The 12094-nt window shown below is 56.3% G+C and overlaps 1 protein-coding gene across 1 annotated transcript in view, besides 2 other annotated features; it reads right to left on the reverse strand.

Moving 5' to 3' along the window:
• Positions 1-12094, reverse strand: part of QSOX2 (quiescin sulfhydryl oxidase 2) — a 39480-nt gene that overhangs the window by 24856 nt on the left and 2530 nt on the right. The window lies entirely within an intron of this gene.
• Positions 8025-8553: an enhancer, noted in NCBI's record as "H3K4me1 hESC enhancer chr9:139131059-139131587 (GRCh37/hg19 assembly coordinates)". NCBI's record gives its function as "activates a minimal SCP1, AML or CMV promoter by ChIP-STARR-seq in primed H9 embryonic stem cells {active_cell/tissue: H9 hESC(primed)}" and the evidence as "EXISTENCE:reporter gene assay evidence [ECO:0000049][PMID:30033119]".
• Positions 8769-8898: a silencer, noted in NCBI's record as "silent region_20502". NCBI's record gives its function as "represses an Ori minimal core promoter by ATAC-STARR-seq in GM12878 lymphoblastoid cells {active_cell/tissue: GM12878}" and the evidence as "EXISTENCE:reporter gene assay evidence [ECO:0000049][PMID:35858748]".

A 12094-nucleotide genomic window follows, 5' to 3' on the forward strand; every position in this document is an offset into this window, starting at 1 on the left:
AAGTCCGTCAGGTCCGCATAGCACACACCTCGAGCATGGAGGGCAAACGTCCTAACAGGCGTGCCCGACTCCGACTAGCGTGTGACCAGAATACGCCCCCATCCTACCGTGGCGAATGAAGACTCCCCGTCACGCAGGTGACATGCTGCAGCCCAAACATGCATCAGCTACGCCCTGAGGCAAACACCTGTGGAGGAATCATTCCACCAACTCCCTTACAAAGGCTCCCGCAGGACACGCTGCCTCCTTCAACATGTAGAAAACCAAGGCTTTGCAAAAGCAAAAGATCTTCATCTTCCCAACATATTTCACACCGTCTCTCCACTAGACCAGAGGGCTCTGCCCTTGGAAGGCAGGGATCCGTGTCCAATCAGCCTGGCGGCCCATCCCCACACATAGGAGGCCCCTGGCCAGTGCTCAGGGGCTTGTGCGAAATGACGCGGCAGAAGGGCAGTGCCCCTCACAGCCCCACACTGATCGCTCCTTACCCAGCCCGCTACCATGGCCTCCGTGCAGTTTCTTCAGCCCTTAATGCTTTGGAAGCACCCGGACCCACCTTATTCCTTTTGAGCTTCCATCAAAGGCTGTGGTGTGAATGTCACCGCCCCTACTTGGCAGATGAGGACACCGAGCTCCAAGTCCTCAGAGGCCGAGAGAGGGAGAGCGAGCCTCAGGGCCGGCAATCCGCCCCCTCCACCCCCTCCACCCTCTCCACCCCCTCCACCCCCTCCACCCTCTCCGCCTCCTCCGCAGGTCCCATCTGCCAGGCTCTCCCAGCGAAGAGAAACCTCTGCTCTGGAACTGTCCCACCCACTGACCCTCAGACACATAAACAGGGAGGCAGAGGAAACTAAGGAAGTCCTCACTTCGTGTCACTGACAGGCTCCTGGAAACGGTGGCTTGAAGGGGAAGGACACATAACAAAACCAGTTTTTTTTCTCTCATCCACGTTATAAGGAAATGACGTTGACAGAAATGTCGTTATCTGAGGACCTGCCGTCTTCCTTGCACTTCGCGTGGCAGTTTGCAGGAACCGTTGAGGCTGTGCAGTGAGCGCTTTCCGCACAGGGCAGGCAGCCTCCCTCACCTCCTGTCCCCTCCTCTTCGTGACACATGGGAAGGGGTCACCTTGACCAATATGTCTTTAAACTGCGTGTGTCCACTTAAATACGCACATTTTTTCAACAAATGTATTGGGAAATTTTTTGGAGATATGTGACAATTTGAAAAAACTTGCAGATGAGCCACACGGCCTAGAAATATACAAAAAATTAAGAAAAGGCATGTCATGAATGCAGAGACCATATGTAGATGCTGTTTTATCATTTACTACCACAAAATATATACAAATCTATTATAAAAAGTTACAATGCATCAAAACTCACACACGCAAAACTTACAGACCACACACAGCACCATTCACAGTACAGAGAAAGGTAAACCACTGTCAGGATACAGCGTAAGTCGGGGCCTGGAGGCTCATGGCTATAATCCAAGCACTTTGTGAGGCTGAGGCCGGTGGATCACTTGAGCCCAGGAGTTTAAGACCAGCCTGGGCAACATAGGGAGTCCCTGTCTCTGCAAAAAATTTTAAAATTAGCCAGGCACGGTGGTCCCAGCTACTCAGCAGGTTGAGATGGGAGAACTACTTGAGCTCAGGAGGTCAAGGCTGCGGTGAGCCGAGATTGCACCACTGCACTCCAGCCTGGGTAGAGTGAGAACCTGTCTCAAAAAAAAAAAAAAAAAAAAAGAAAAAAGAAAAAAAAAGAAAATCATGGAGGAGAAAGGACATCTGCCTGAACAGGTATTTTTATGCAGGCGCAAGTGCCCTATTAGGGAAAAAATGCCACAAAGGACATGAATTAGGAAGGAAGAGGAGCGAGCACCAGTCGGGAGAGGCTGACTCTGCTGTTTGTGCACACGCTGCCGGGTGTATCAGCAGGACTGCCCTTAGCTATAAAGCCGCTAACCCTGAGCCTCGAACAAGAAAGACAAACAGCAGCTGCCAGTCTTCTGGTTGCACGAGAAGGCCTGGGCAATGAGAAACACTTTTCCAGATGCTTTGTCCCTGAAGCCAGGAAGTACCTTCCAGTAAGGGACTGCCTTTTACAGTGATTTCATCTTGCTGAATGCCCCTGGCCACGAAGAACTCATGAGTTCAACACCGAAGGCTTCATCAGTCTACCTGCTCCCCAAACACAATGAGCCTTACTCTAGATCTGGGGTCCTAAGGCCCTTTAGGGCTCATTACACAGTCCTCTCAGGACGGCCAACACGGTGGCAGAGAACCTCACAGAGGAAACATGATGACAGCTGGAAGGACTGCACCACTGAAGACGCCATCGTTGTTATAGGAAGAGCCGTGAAGGCTGTCGAGCCCACACAAACTCCCGCTGGAGAAAACTGTGTCCACAGGCTGTGTCTGACCTCACGGGATTTATGACAGAGCCAATCAAGGAAACCACGAGAGGTCGTGGATGTGGTCAAAAGGGAGGGGAGAAGGGTTCCATGAGACGAATCGTGCAGCAACTCAAGAGAACAGAAGACGACGCTGTGGAGCCAAGTGCCTCCTCACCAGTGCCAAACACAAACGCACCATCACCTGGCAGGACTCTCAACACTCGAGACGGTTTTTGCTTTCTTCTATGACACGGACCCTTTTCTAAAACAGGCACTAAAACTAAAGCAAACAGTGGAAGGAAGACTGGGACCACACAGAAACCGTTTAGAGAAATAAAAAGCAAGAAAGCCAGACAGAAGGCACAACGTACCTCCATGAAGTGACACGGAACACGCCTGCCTCCCCTCTACTGCCTCCACCTCCTCTGCCGCTGCAACCTGGGGCAGGACAAAGGTCTTCACGAGGCTCCACCTGGGGCAGCCTGGCCGGGACAAAGGCCTTCACGAGGCTCCACCTGGGGCAGCCTGGCCAGGACAAAGGCCTTCACGTGGCTCCACCTGGGGCACTTCCTGAGCAGAAGGCCTACTTCTCTTTTGTGCGACGATCTTCTCTAGCTTCCTTTACTGTAAGAACACAGTACGGAACACGTGTAACACACAAAGTTTGTGTCAATCGACCGTTTGTCACTGGTAAGGCTTCCAGTCAACGGTGGGCTATGAGCTCAGTTTTTGGGGAGTCGCAGGTTATATACACATTTTTGACTGTACAGGAGCTGGCACCCCCAGCCCGCAAGTTGTCTGAGGGTCAACTGCACACGTAACGGGAGTGCTGCCCTTCTAACTGAGCCCCTGGAGGGCCGCCCAGATGTCCGGCAGATGTCCCACACCTTTTCCAGCTCAGCGTTGACAACGCACCATCCTAGAGCAACGGTGGCAAATTCTTCTTGGCCTGACAGAGACACTTTATGGAGAAAAAAGTGACAGAGTTCACACAGCCCCTTCAGAGCTAGCACGCTGGCACCCAGGAACCTTCCTGGGCGTGAGGCTGCTGTCACTAAGACCTCTCCTGTGAACCTCGCATCAGCAGGTGGAGACGGAAGCAGGGCCCTGGAGGAAGCCCCGATGGCCATCCCCGGCTTGGGAGCAAGGCTGGTCTCCACAAGGCCCCCCAGCTCCACTGCGCCCGCCCCAGCCTCATCGCGCCACACCCCAGCTTGGGAGCAAGGCTGGTCTCCACGAGGCCCCCCAGCTCCACTGCGCCCGCCCCAGCCTCATCGCGCCACACCCCAGCGACCACAGGCGAGTCTTGCTCCAGTCATGTCTGGACTGTGTGACCCCCGCTCCCTTTACCGGGCTCGTTCCTATTTGCCTTCCAGGTCTCCATCCGAATGCCACTTCATCTGAGTCTACCCTGACCGCTGTTCAACTGGTTCCCCCGCCCATGGCCCATGCTCAGCAGACCCTCCTTGCAGGTGGAGACCCAGCCAGGCAGCTTCACATCCAGCTCTGCTGCTTACTGGGTTTTGAGAATTGGGGCAAGTAACAATCTCTTCTTGCCTCAGTTGCTCCATCTGTAAAATGGAGATGCCAAGGAAGATCCATCTCCCAAGGGCAGTGTGAGGATCGGCGGGGTCAAAGGCACGAGTGCTGGCACAGCACACCCCCCGGAGGAGGGCCAGGACCAACATGCCCACTCAAAGGCCACGTCCCCACGACGGCCACACCTGCAGGGACTGACAAGCATGTGCTGGGGATGCAAGACCAGGGACACTGCTGGGCCCTTACGGGGAGTGACGACCAAGGAAGGAGAGAAGGAGAGAAGACAACTCAGGCTGGCAGGGCAGAAGGGGAGGCGGCCGCGGGAGCACCTGGAGTCAGGGACACCGTCATACGGAAGACGAGGGGAAGCCCTGAGCTGGGCTCGGGCCGGTTCACAAGAGGCTGCAGATCTTGGTGCAGACTTTGTTCTTTGTCTCAACAGCCACGGGCAGCCACTGATGTGCGTGGAGAACTCATAACCACCACGACGTCTGAGTGAAGGAAGACGGTGGCCAGTGAGCTGGGTGGCCAGCAAGCATAGAGCGCTGGCATCAGCCAGAGCCCTGAAGACCACCTGCTCCCCTCTCCCTCGCGCTGGGTCACACCCAGGCGACCCGTGGAGCTCTGGTGGCTACAGAGGCAGCATGGCCCAGTGGTGGCCAAGGCTGAGCCGTCTCTTCTCCACATCCAAGACCACGGACTCCGGGCACACAGAAAGGCATGGGTCTCCGGCTCAGCACCTGCAGGCACTTCCTCTATGAACATTTTCATCAGCGACACTCTCTGGCCTCAGCTTCGGGAGGAACTGGGCTGTGGAGAGCAGTTTCCATCGTAAGGATGATGTATGGAACTTCGCAGCCACCGTAGCTGAGGGAGCAGCCAGTCTCCCTCTGGGTCCGAAGTCACTGGCAGTCAGGGTCAGGGCCAGGATGGGGGCTGCACCCCACCAAGTCAACCCGGACCTCTCCCAGTCTAGACTCTGCAAGCCACCTGCCACCCACCACCTCCACTCAGCTGTCCCAGGCATCGTCACAACGCTCCTGACCCTCCACCTCCTCCCCACTCCCTGCTCCGCACAGAGAGCCAGGTAGACAGCTCTCCTCCATGGGGCACCCGGAGACAGGACTGGCTGCTGCCCAAGGACAGAGGGCTGTGTGCCGGCCCCTGGGGAGACGCACGGTGTGCGGAGATGGGGCAGATGCTAGGTGGCAATGGTGATTCTCCTTCAGCCGGACTAGACGGATATTCACAGGTATCTGAAACAGGACGCCCTCTGAAACAGGCCGCAGCTGCCAGCTTAAATAAAGGAGACAGAAAAAACCCACCTTGCTTTCCCTCCAGTTTTGGCCAATCTGAGGCTTTCCTCACGACAGCAGAAGAGCCAGCGCTGCAGCATCACCCAAACCACAGGCCCCCTGGCCAAACGGGTGCTCCAAAACCCAGCGTGCGCCCCGAGACTTACACGGGTGCACTCCACCTTGACACCTCTGATAAATAAAATACCGGGTGAATTCCCAGCGTCAGGAGTGCACATCTGAAGCCCGTCCTGTGCCAGCGACACCTGAAGCCAGTCCTGTGCCTGCGTCACGTGGAGCTCGTCCTGGGTCTGCGTCACCTGGAGCCCGTCCTGGGCCAGCGTCACCTGGTGCCCGTCCTGGGCCGGCGACACCTGGAGCCCGTCCTGGGCCTGCATCACCTGGTGCCCATCCTGTCCCACACCTGGAGCCTGTCTTGTGCCACACCTGGAGCCCTTCCTGGGCTGGTGTCACCTAGAGCCCGTCCTGTGCCACACCTGGAGCCCGTCCTGGGCCTGCATCACCTGGTGCCCGTCCTGTGCCACACCTGGAGCCTGTCCTGGGCCGGCGTCACCTGGAGCCCGTCCTGGGCCGGTGTCACCTGGAGCCTGTCCTGTGCCACACCTGGTGCCCGTCCTGTGCCACACCTGGTGCCCGTCCTGTGCCACACCTGGAGCCTGTCTTGTGCCACACCTGGAGCCCATCCTGGGCCGGCGTCACCTGGAGCCCGTCCTGGGCCTGCATCACCTGGTGCCCGTCCTGTGCCACACCTGGAGCCTGCTCTGGGCCGGCGTCACTTGGAGCCTGTCCTGTGCCACACCTGGAGCCCATCCTGGGCTGGCGTCACCTGGAGCCCGTCCTGGGCCTGCATCACCTGGTGCCCGTCCTGCGCCACACCTGGAGCCTGCTCTGGGCCGGCGTCACTTGGAGCCTGTCCTGTGCCACACCTGGAGCCCATCCTGGGCTGGCGTCACCTGGAGCCTGTCCTGGGCCTGCATCACCTGGAGCCCGTCCTGTGCCACACCTGGAGCCCATCCTGTGCCGGCGACACCTGGAGCCCGTCCTGTGCCGGCGACACCTGGAGCCCGTCCTGTGCCGGCGACACCTGGAGCCCGTCCTGTGCCACACCTGGAGCCCGTCCTGTGGCGGCGTCACCTGGAGCCCGTCCTGTGCCACACCTGGAGCCCATCCTGGGCCAGCGTCACCTGGAGCCCGTCCTGTGCCATACCTGGAGCCCGTCCTGGGCCTGCATCACCTGGTGCCCGTCCTGTGCCACACCTGGAGCCTGCTCTGGGCCGGCGTCACCTGGAGCCCGTCCTGTGCCACACCTGGAGCCCATCCTGTGCCAGTGTCACCTGGAGCCCGTCCTGTGCCAGTGTCCAAGTAGAATTTTCCAAAAGCTAAACACACGATTCTCACACAAACGCAGAGTGAACATGCGTCAACAACATTCTTCCACTGGGACTGCTGAAGGAAAGGGTGAGGCCAGGTGGGGAGCACAGAGAATAGTGCTATCTGCCCCCAGGGACAGTGCACAAAGAAACTGTCCTATGGGGCAAGAAAACCACAACCTTTGGGCTTTCCTTGTCTACCAGACAGATGAGGTCGGCGAGCTCACGAGTAACCACAGAGCCTGGGCCCTTAATCAGCAGTGAACAGCAGGATAAACACACAGATGTCCGTGCCCCAGGTCACAGCCCTTGGGCGAGCCTGTGCAACACCCCAACATGATGCTGAGAGGACACAAGACTCAGCTTTTTGTCCTATTTCCAGGTTTTACCTAATATTTCCTTAGCAACAGGATGCAGAAAACTAGTCAGACGGGGAAACTGATCAGCCAGGGGCCAGGAACAAGAGCCGTGCCCTGGGCAGGAGCGAAACACGCTGCTCCGCATCTCAGGTGCGTGCCCACCTCCCTGCACCCTCTCATGCTCCAAGAAGACAAGACATGGCCTTCGGTAACTTTTGCCCAAACACTGTCTACATGACCTGAAACCACAATTCTACCAGGAAGGCACAGACTTCCCCTTTGTTCCCCGAGGATCCCTCACACTTCAGGGAACCCTGAGCTGGCCTTCCAAAGACAACGCTCCCCGGGCCTCATTCCCGCCTCGCAATCCAGGCCCTGAGCAAGCCCGGCGGGCAGCCTCCTCCCACCTGGCTGTGCCAACCCTCCCTCTGCCCCTCAGGCCCCAGCTGCCACGCGCGGCCTGGCCTCTCTCACACATCCCACTGTGCTCCGCTGGTTTCTGGTCTTCAGTTCTCCAGAGAGCAGCCAGAGAGTTTTACCTAGAAACCAGGTTTCCCTGCTTAAAATTGTTCTTTGGCATTCTGTTGCTCAGGAAGAAGACAAGCACCGTTTACTGAGCCTGCATCTGCCTGCTGCCGGGCCCTCAGGGACCTCGTGGTTGCCCCCTTGAGCGACCAAGACCCTATCAAAGTCCTTTTAGCCGGGCGTGGTGGTACCTGCCCATCGTCCCAGCTACTTAGGACGCTGAGGCAGGAGGGTCCCTTGAGCCCAGGAGTTCAAAGCCAACCCGGACCACACGAAGAGACCGATCTCTAAAACAAAAGGTCCCCTGGACACTGCAGTCTTGGCTGTCTCGGGTCCTCTGTGCTGGCCATGCCCCTGGCAGGGCCTTCACCTCGTGGCTCCTCTCCCAAGTCGCTGCCCTCTGACGCCTTGCTCTACCACCCAGGGCCACTCCAGTTTCTTTCTAATTGGTCTGTTCATTTTTCTAGGAGTTACAACCTATAGGTAACTCATTTATTTTAATTTGAGACAGGTCTCACTCCGTCACCCAGGCTGGAGTACAGGAGAGTGATCACGGCTCACTGCAGCCTCAACCTCCTGGGCTCGAGTGATCTTCCCATCTCAGCCTCCTAAGTGGCTGGGGCCACAGGAGTGGGGATCTTGCTATGTTGCCCAGGCTGGTCTTGAACTCCTGGGCTCAAGTGATCCTCCCACCTTCCAAAGTACCGGGATTACAGGCGGGAGCCACTGCCCCGGCCACTTCCTTGTTTTATTTGTCTTCCTGTTGACTGTCTGCTACTCCCTCTAAAGCACAGGCTTCCTCAGGTGGGGACCTCCCTGCTTTGTTCCCTGCTGTTCCTCCAACAGATGAATTTCCAGCGCAAATTCATCCCGGAGCGTGAATTCACGCAGAGCCCCTGCACACACTGCAGGGCGAGGGAAGTCCAGCTCCATCCACCAGTCCGCAGGGGCAGCACCTCGACCTGCCTCAGTAGAGCTACGCTCCCAACACCACCACCCCACTCAGGGTCAGTCCTGGTGAAGGGGCATGCGGGCACCCCACGTCGCCTTTGTCTGTCCTTGAAAGAATGCCAGGCCGTGTGCTCAGGGAAGGCCGAGCAGATGAGGGAGAATTTCAGTTACACAGGCCTCCCTCAGCAGCTGAACAGGCGCCAGGAGTACCGGCAAGGACTCGGCAGATGGACGGTATTCATGGCAACACAAAAGATATGGTAGTCCATATTATCAAATCAAATACAAAACACGTAAAAGGCTTAGCTTCAGGGCACTGGCCTCATTCAACGGGTACCCTCCCCTTCTCCTGCTCTGCCCACCTGTCTAGCTCTGAACCTCTAAAGCAGAATGCAAATGGCCTGCTTTCATTGGGCCTCTGGGGTTAGAGCCAGCTGAGAGGCACAGGGTGTGGCAGGGGCGGGGGTGCCCAACCCAGCACAGCCAGGGGGTTCCAAAGGGAGGCAGAAATGAGACCGCAGGCCTATTCTCACTTCTGCTCAAGAGCCTGGCTATTTTAGGACTCCAGTCTTAAAAATACTTGGGAAATAATTAAGCTTCTATATATAGTAGATTAACATTTATTTCAAATGTGCTTGTCAAATAACTCTAATACTGAATCTAACAAGGTTAACTCTTTACTGCTTGTCACGTTCTAATGAAAAAGTCTACAGAAGTCTAATGTATAGTCCAGTATCAAATCGTTCTAGAAAATGATTACAGTAAAGATAAAACAATCTCCCAAGTTGAAAGGCAACTAGGGAGCTGTGTTTAAGGGACAGAGGTCCACTGCAGCCTCTCCTTCCTGAGTCAGGGCCATGCTGGGGTCTCGAACTCCGCATACCAGTCCCTGGAGAAGACCCTCTCTGGGTGGAGCCCCCTCTTGGCTGAGCAAAGGTCTTCTTAGCTAAGCTCCAAGTTCAAGGCACAAGTTTGGAATAACAGGCCTGGGTAGAAATGAAACCCACCTAGCGACCAGGAGAGCCTAACACAAATCACCTAGAAGTTGCCAAGGGCTGGTCTGAGAAAACCCGGGCACACGCTACGGTCGCCTCATCTGGGGACTGAGGGCAGGGCTGGGTCCCATGGACTCTTGATCCCCAGCATTTAACTCAATTCTGGTAAACCAAAACTACACGTTCTTCAGCCTCGAAGGGTGCTCCGAGGTGACAGCAATTCCAATGCTGTTTATCTGTTGGTAGGGAATGACAGTCCCTCAGCCCGTCCTCTGTCAGGGAAGCCCAAGCAGTGCTTATGACCTGGGTCACCCCATGGCACGACGACCGGCATGACACAGCGGAGACGGCTCCCTGGACGTGGCTGTAAGGCCCTCTTAGCAAACCATCCCGTCTTACTTCAACAACAAGTAAGTGGCCTGGGTCTCTCGGTGTAGTCTCAGACGCACCAACCACAGCCACTGGGGAGGCCAGCGGGGAGCCCGGCTGCTCCGATGCACCATCCTTTCTGTAAAATACTCATGTGGTCGCCACAGCGGGGCTACATTAAGCCATTTCTGGGCCCGTAAGGAGACAGGAGGCCTCCACTGCCCAACTCTTCCTCCTTCCACCCTCTCCATCCTCCCGAGTCCAGTGAGCACCTGGCAGCTCTCACGGGCCGTCAGCCCCGCCAAATGCCCGCTGACACCTGCATGTCCCCCTCCCTCTGGCCCTTATTGTTTCTTTTTCCAGTAAACGGACAATGAGCCTGTGGGGAACACCAAGTTCTAATTCATCTCCAAGAAGCCTGCAGCCTAGTCGAGTAGACAAGAAACCAGACCAAGTGGGACAGAGGAGCTGGCAGCAATCACAGAATGCCCTACCCTTCCTTCAAGAGATGTCGGATGTGTCCAGCTCCCAACCCCCACCTGTCCTCTACAAAGACACAGGAATGAACTGCCATGGCTCCAGGTCACCCACACCTGGACACCCATCCCGGCCTGTCACTCAGCTGCGTGACCGTGACTATCCCACGCAACCTCACGTGCTATCACCTGCAACATGAGCGCCCCCGCACTCCTGAGGACAGGTGTGGGAGGACTCGGCCTGTTCCACGCAACCTCATGTGCTATCATCTACAACATAAGCGTTCCCGCCCTCCTGAGGGCAGGTCTAGGAGGACTCAGCCTGTTGTGGGTGGTGGCCTGCCCTGTTTTCTCAGGCTGACCAAGTGAAGGAGATGGGAGGGAACAGGCACCAGGGCCACAGAGGGCGCACGGGGACACAGGCCCTGCCTTTAGGGTGCACCCTCTTGTCCACTCAAGACTGCAGAGGCATTTCGGAGATCTCACCGGTCAGACGGGCCAAAGTGTAGCCCCAGGCCCTGGTGCCTCATCTTCCATCACAAACCCAGCAACCATCACTGCCAGGCAGATCTTCAGGAACCCAACAAGGTTTTGTTCTGCAAAGTACTTAGAAGTGACAGGCTTAAGCCAAATCTCCACAAACACTAGAATGACACTTGGTCACACCAAACAGTACAACTTTTGTTTCTTAAGCCACCTTCTTATAAGAAAAAACATTTATTTTCCCAGCCTTGAAAAAGCCAGTCAAGAGCTAAAGTTCAATCCAAATTTCTGAGGAAAACAAAGGTGCCCTGGCCTGTCCTGCTCCTTCCAGCTGGAGGCTCCTGGGAAGCAGAGCCCACACCTAACCATCCTCTCCAGCAGCCACAGGCATGAAGAACGCAGGGCGTGGCGGGCGCTGGCCAGGGGGACCAGTGGGAGAAGGCGGCTGGACACTCTAGGTAGAAGTGGGGGCCCAAGCCATGGCCTGTGTGCCCCCAGGGGATCAGCAGGATGACCTAAGTCACAGGTGATTGATCAGGGCCACAGGTGACTGATCTGAGTCAGGTCAACAGGGACATAAGAAAACATGAGAATGTTGACAACGGGAATGCCTGCATGCAGCCAGACCCCTGCACTGCCACGGGCAATGGGCGCCCTATCCCTGTGGGACAGCTCCACGCAGGGATGACAGACAGGGAGCCAGGCGCCAAGCAGACAGTTCTGAGCTGGCAGGTCTGGGCTGGGGCTGTGGAGAAGCAGGCATTTCTAACAAGGCCCTAAGTGGCCCTACTTTGAGAGTCCCAGCCTTAGAACAGCTCCGGGGACTCCTCAGTGCCAAGGGCCTTTCATCCCTTTCTACCCGGACTCTACCTCCCACAAGCCTCATGGGCACAGCTTGGCTCTCAGGACTGTAAACCAAAAATAAAATCCTGAGTCCCCTAACTGACTGAATTGAACCCCCTCTTGGCCAAGGAGACCCCAGGGCAACCTGAGGAAAGAAATTCCAGGCCCTGACGGCAAGGGAGGTCAGACACGCCTGGTTACATCACCTCCCTTTGGAGTTTAGGCAGAGCTGACCAGCGTGATGAAACAGAGATCACAGACAGACAGCACAGCCTCAGCAGCAACGACACCAAACTCCAGCCTGACTCGGGTACAGCACCACATGACAAATAGCACACCCTGCAGGAAATCAAAATATTTCACCCCCAAATACATTTATTTCCCTGACATATTTGAAATGGTCCTGCAAAGCTGTCTTTTGTGAGGGAAATTTGCATCTGTAGAGAATCTCCCTCCCTTTCTAGGTCT

Source organism: Homo sapiens, chromosome 9 (assembly GCF_000001405.40).
Source record: "Homo sapiens chromosome 9, GRCh38.p14 Primary Assembly".
In the NCBI taxonomy this organism is placed as follows: Eukaryota; Metazoa; Chordata; class Mammalia; order Primates; family Hominidae; genus Homo; species Homo sapiens.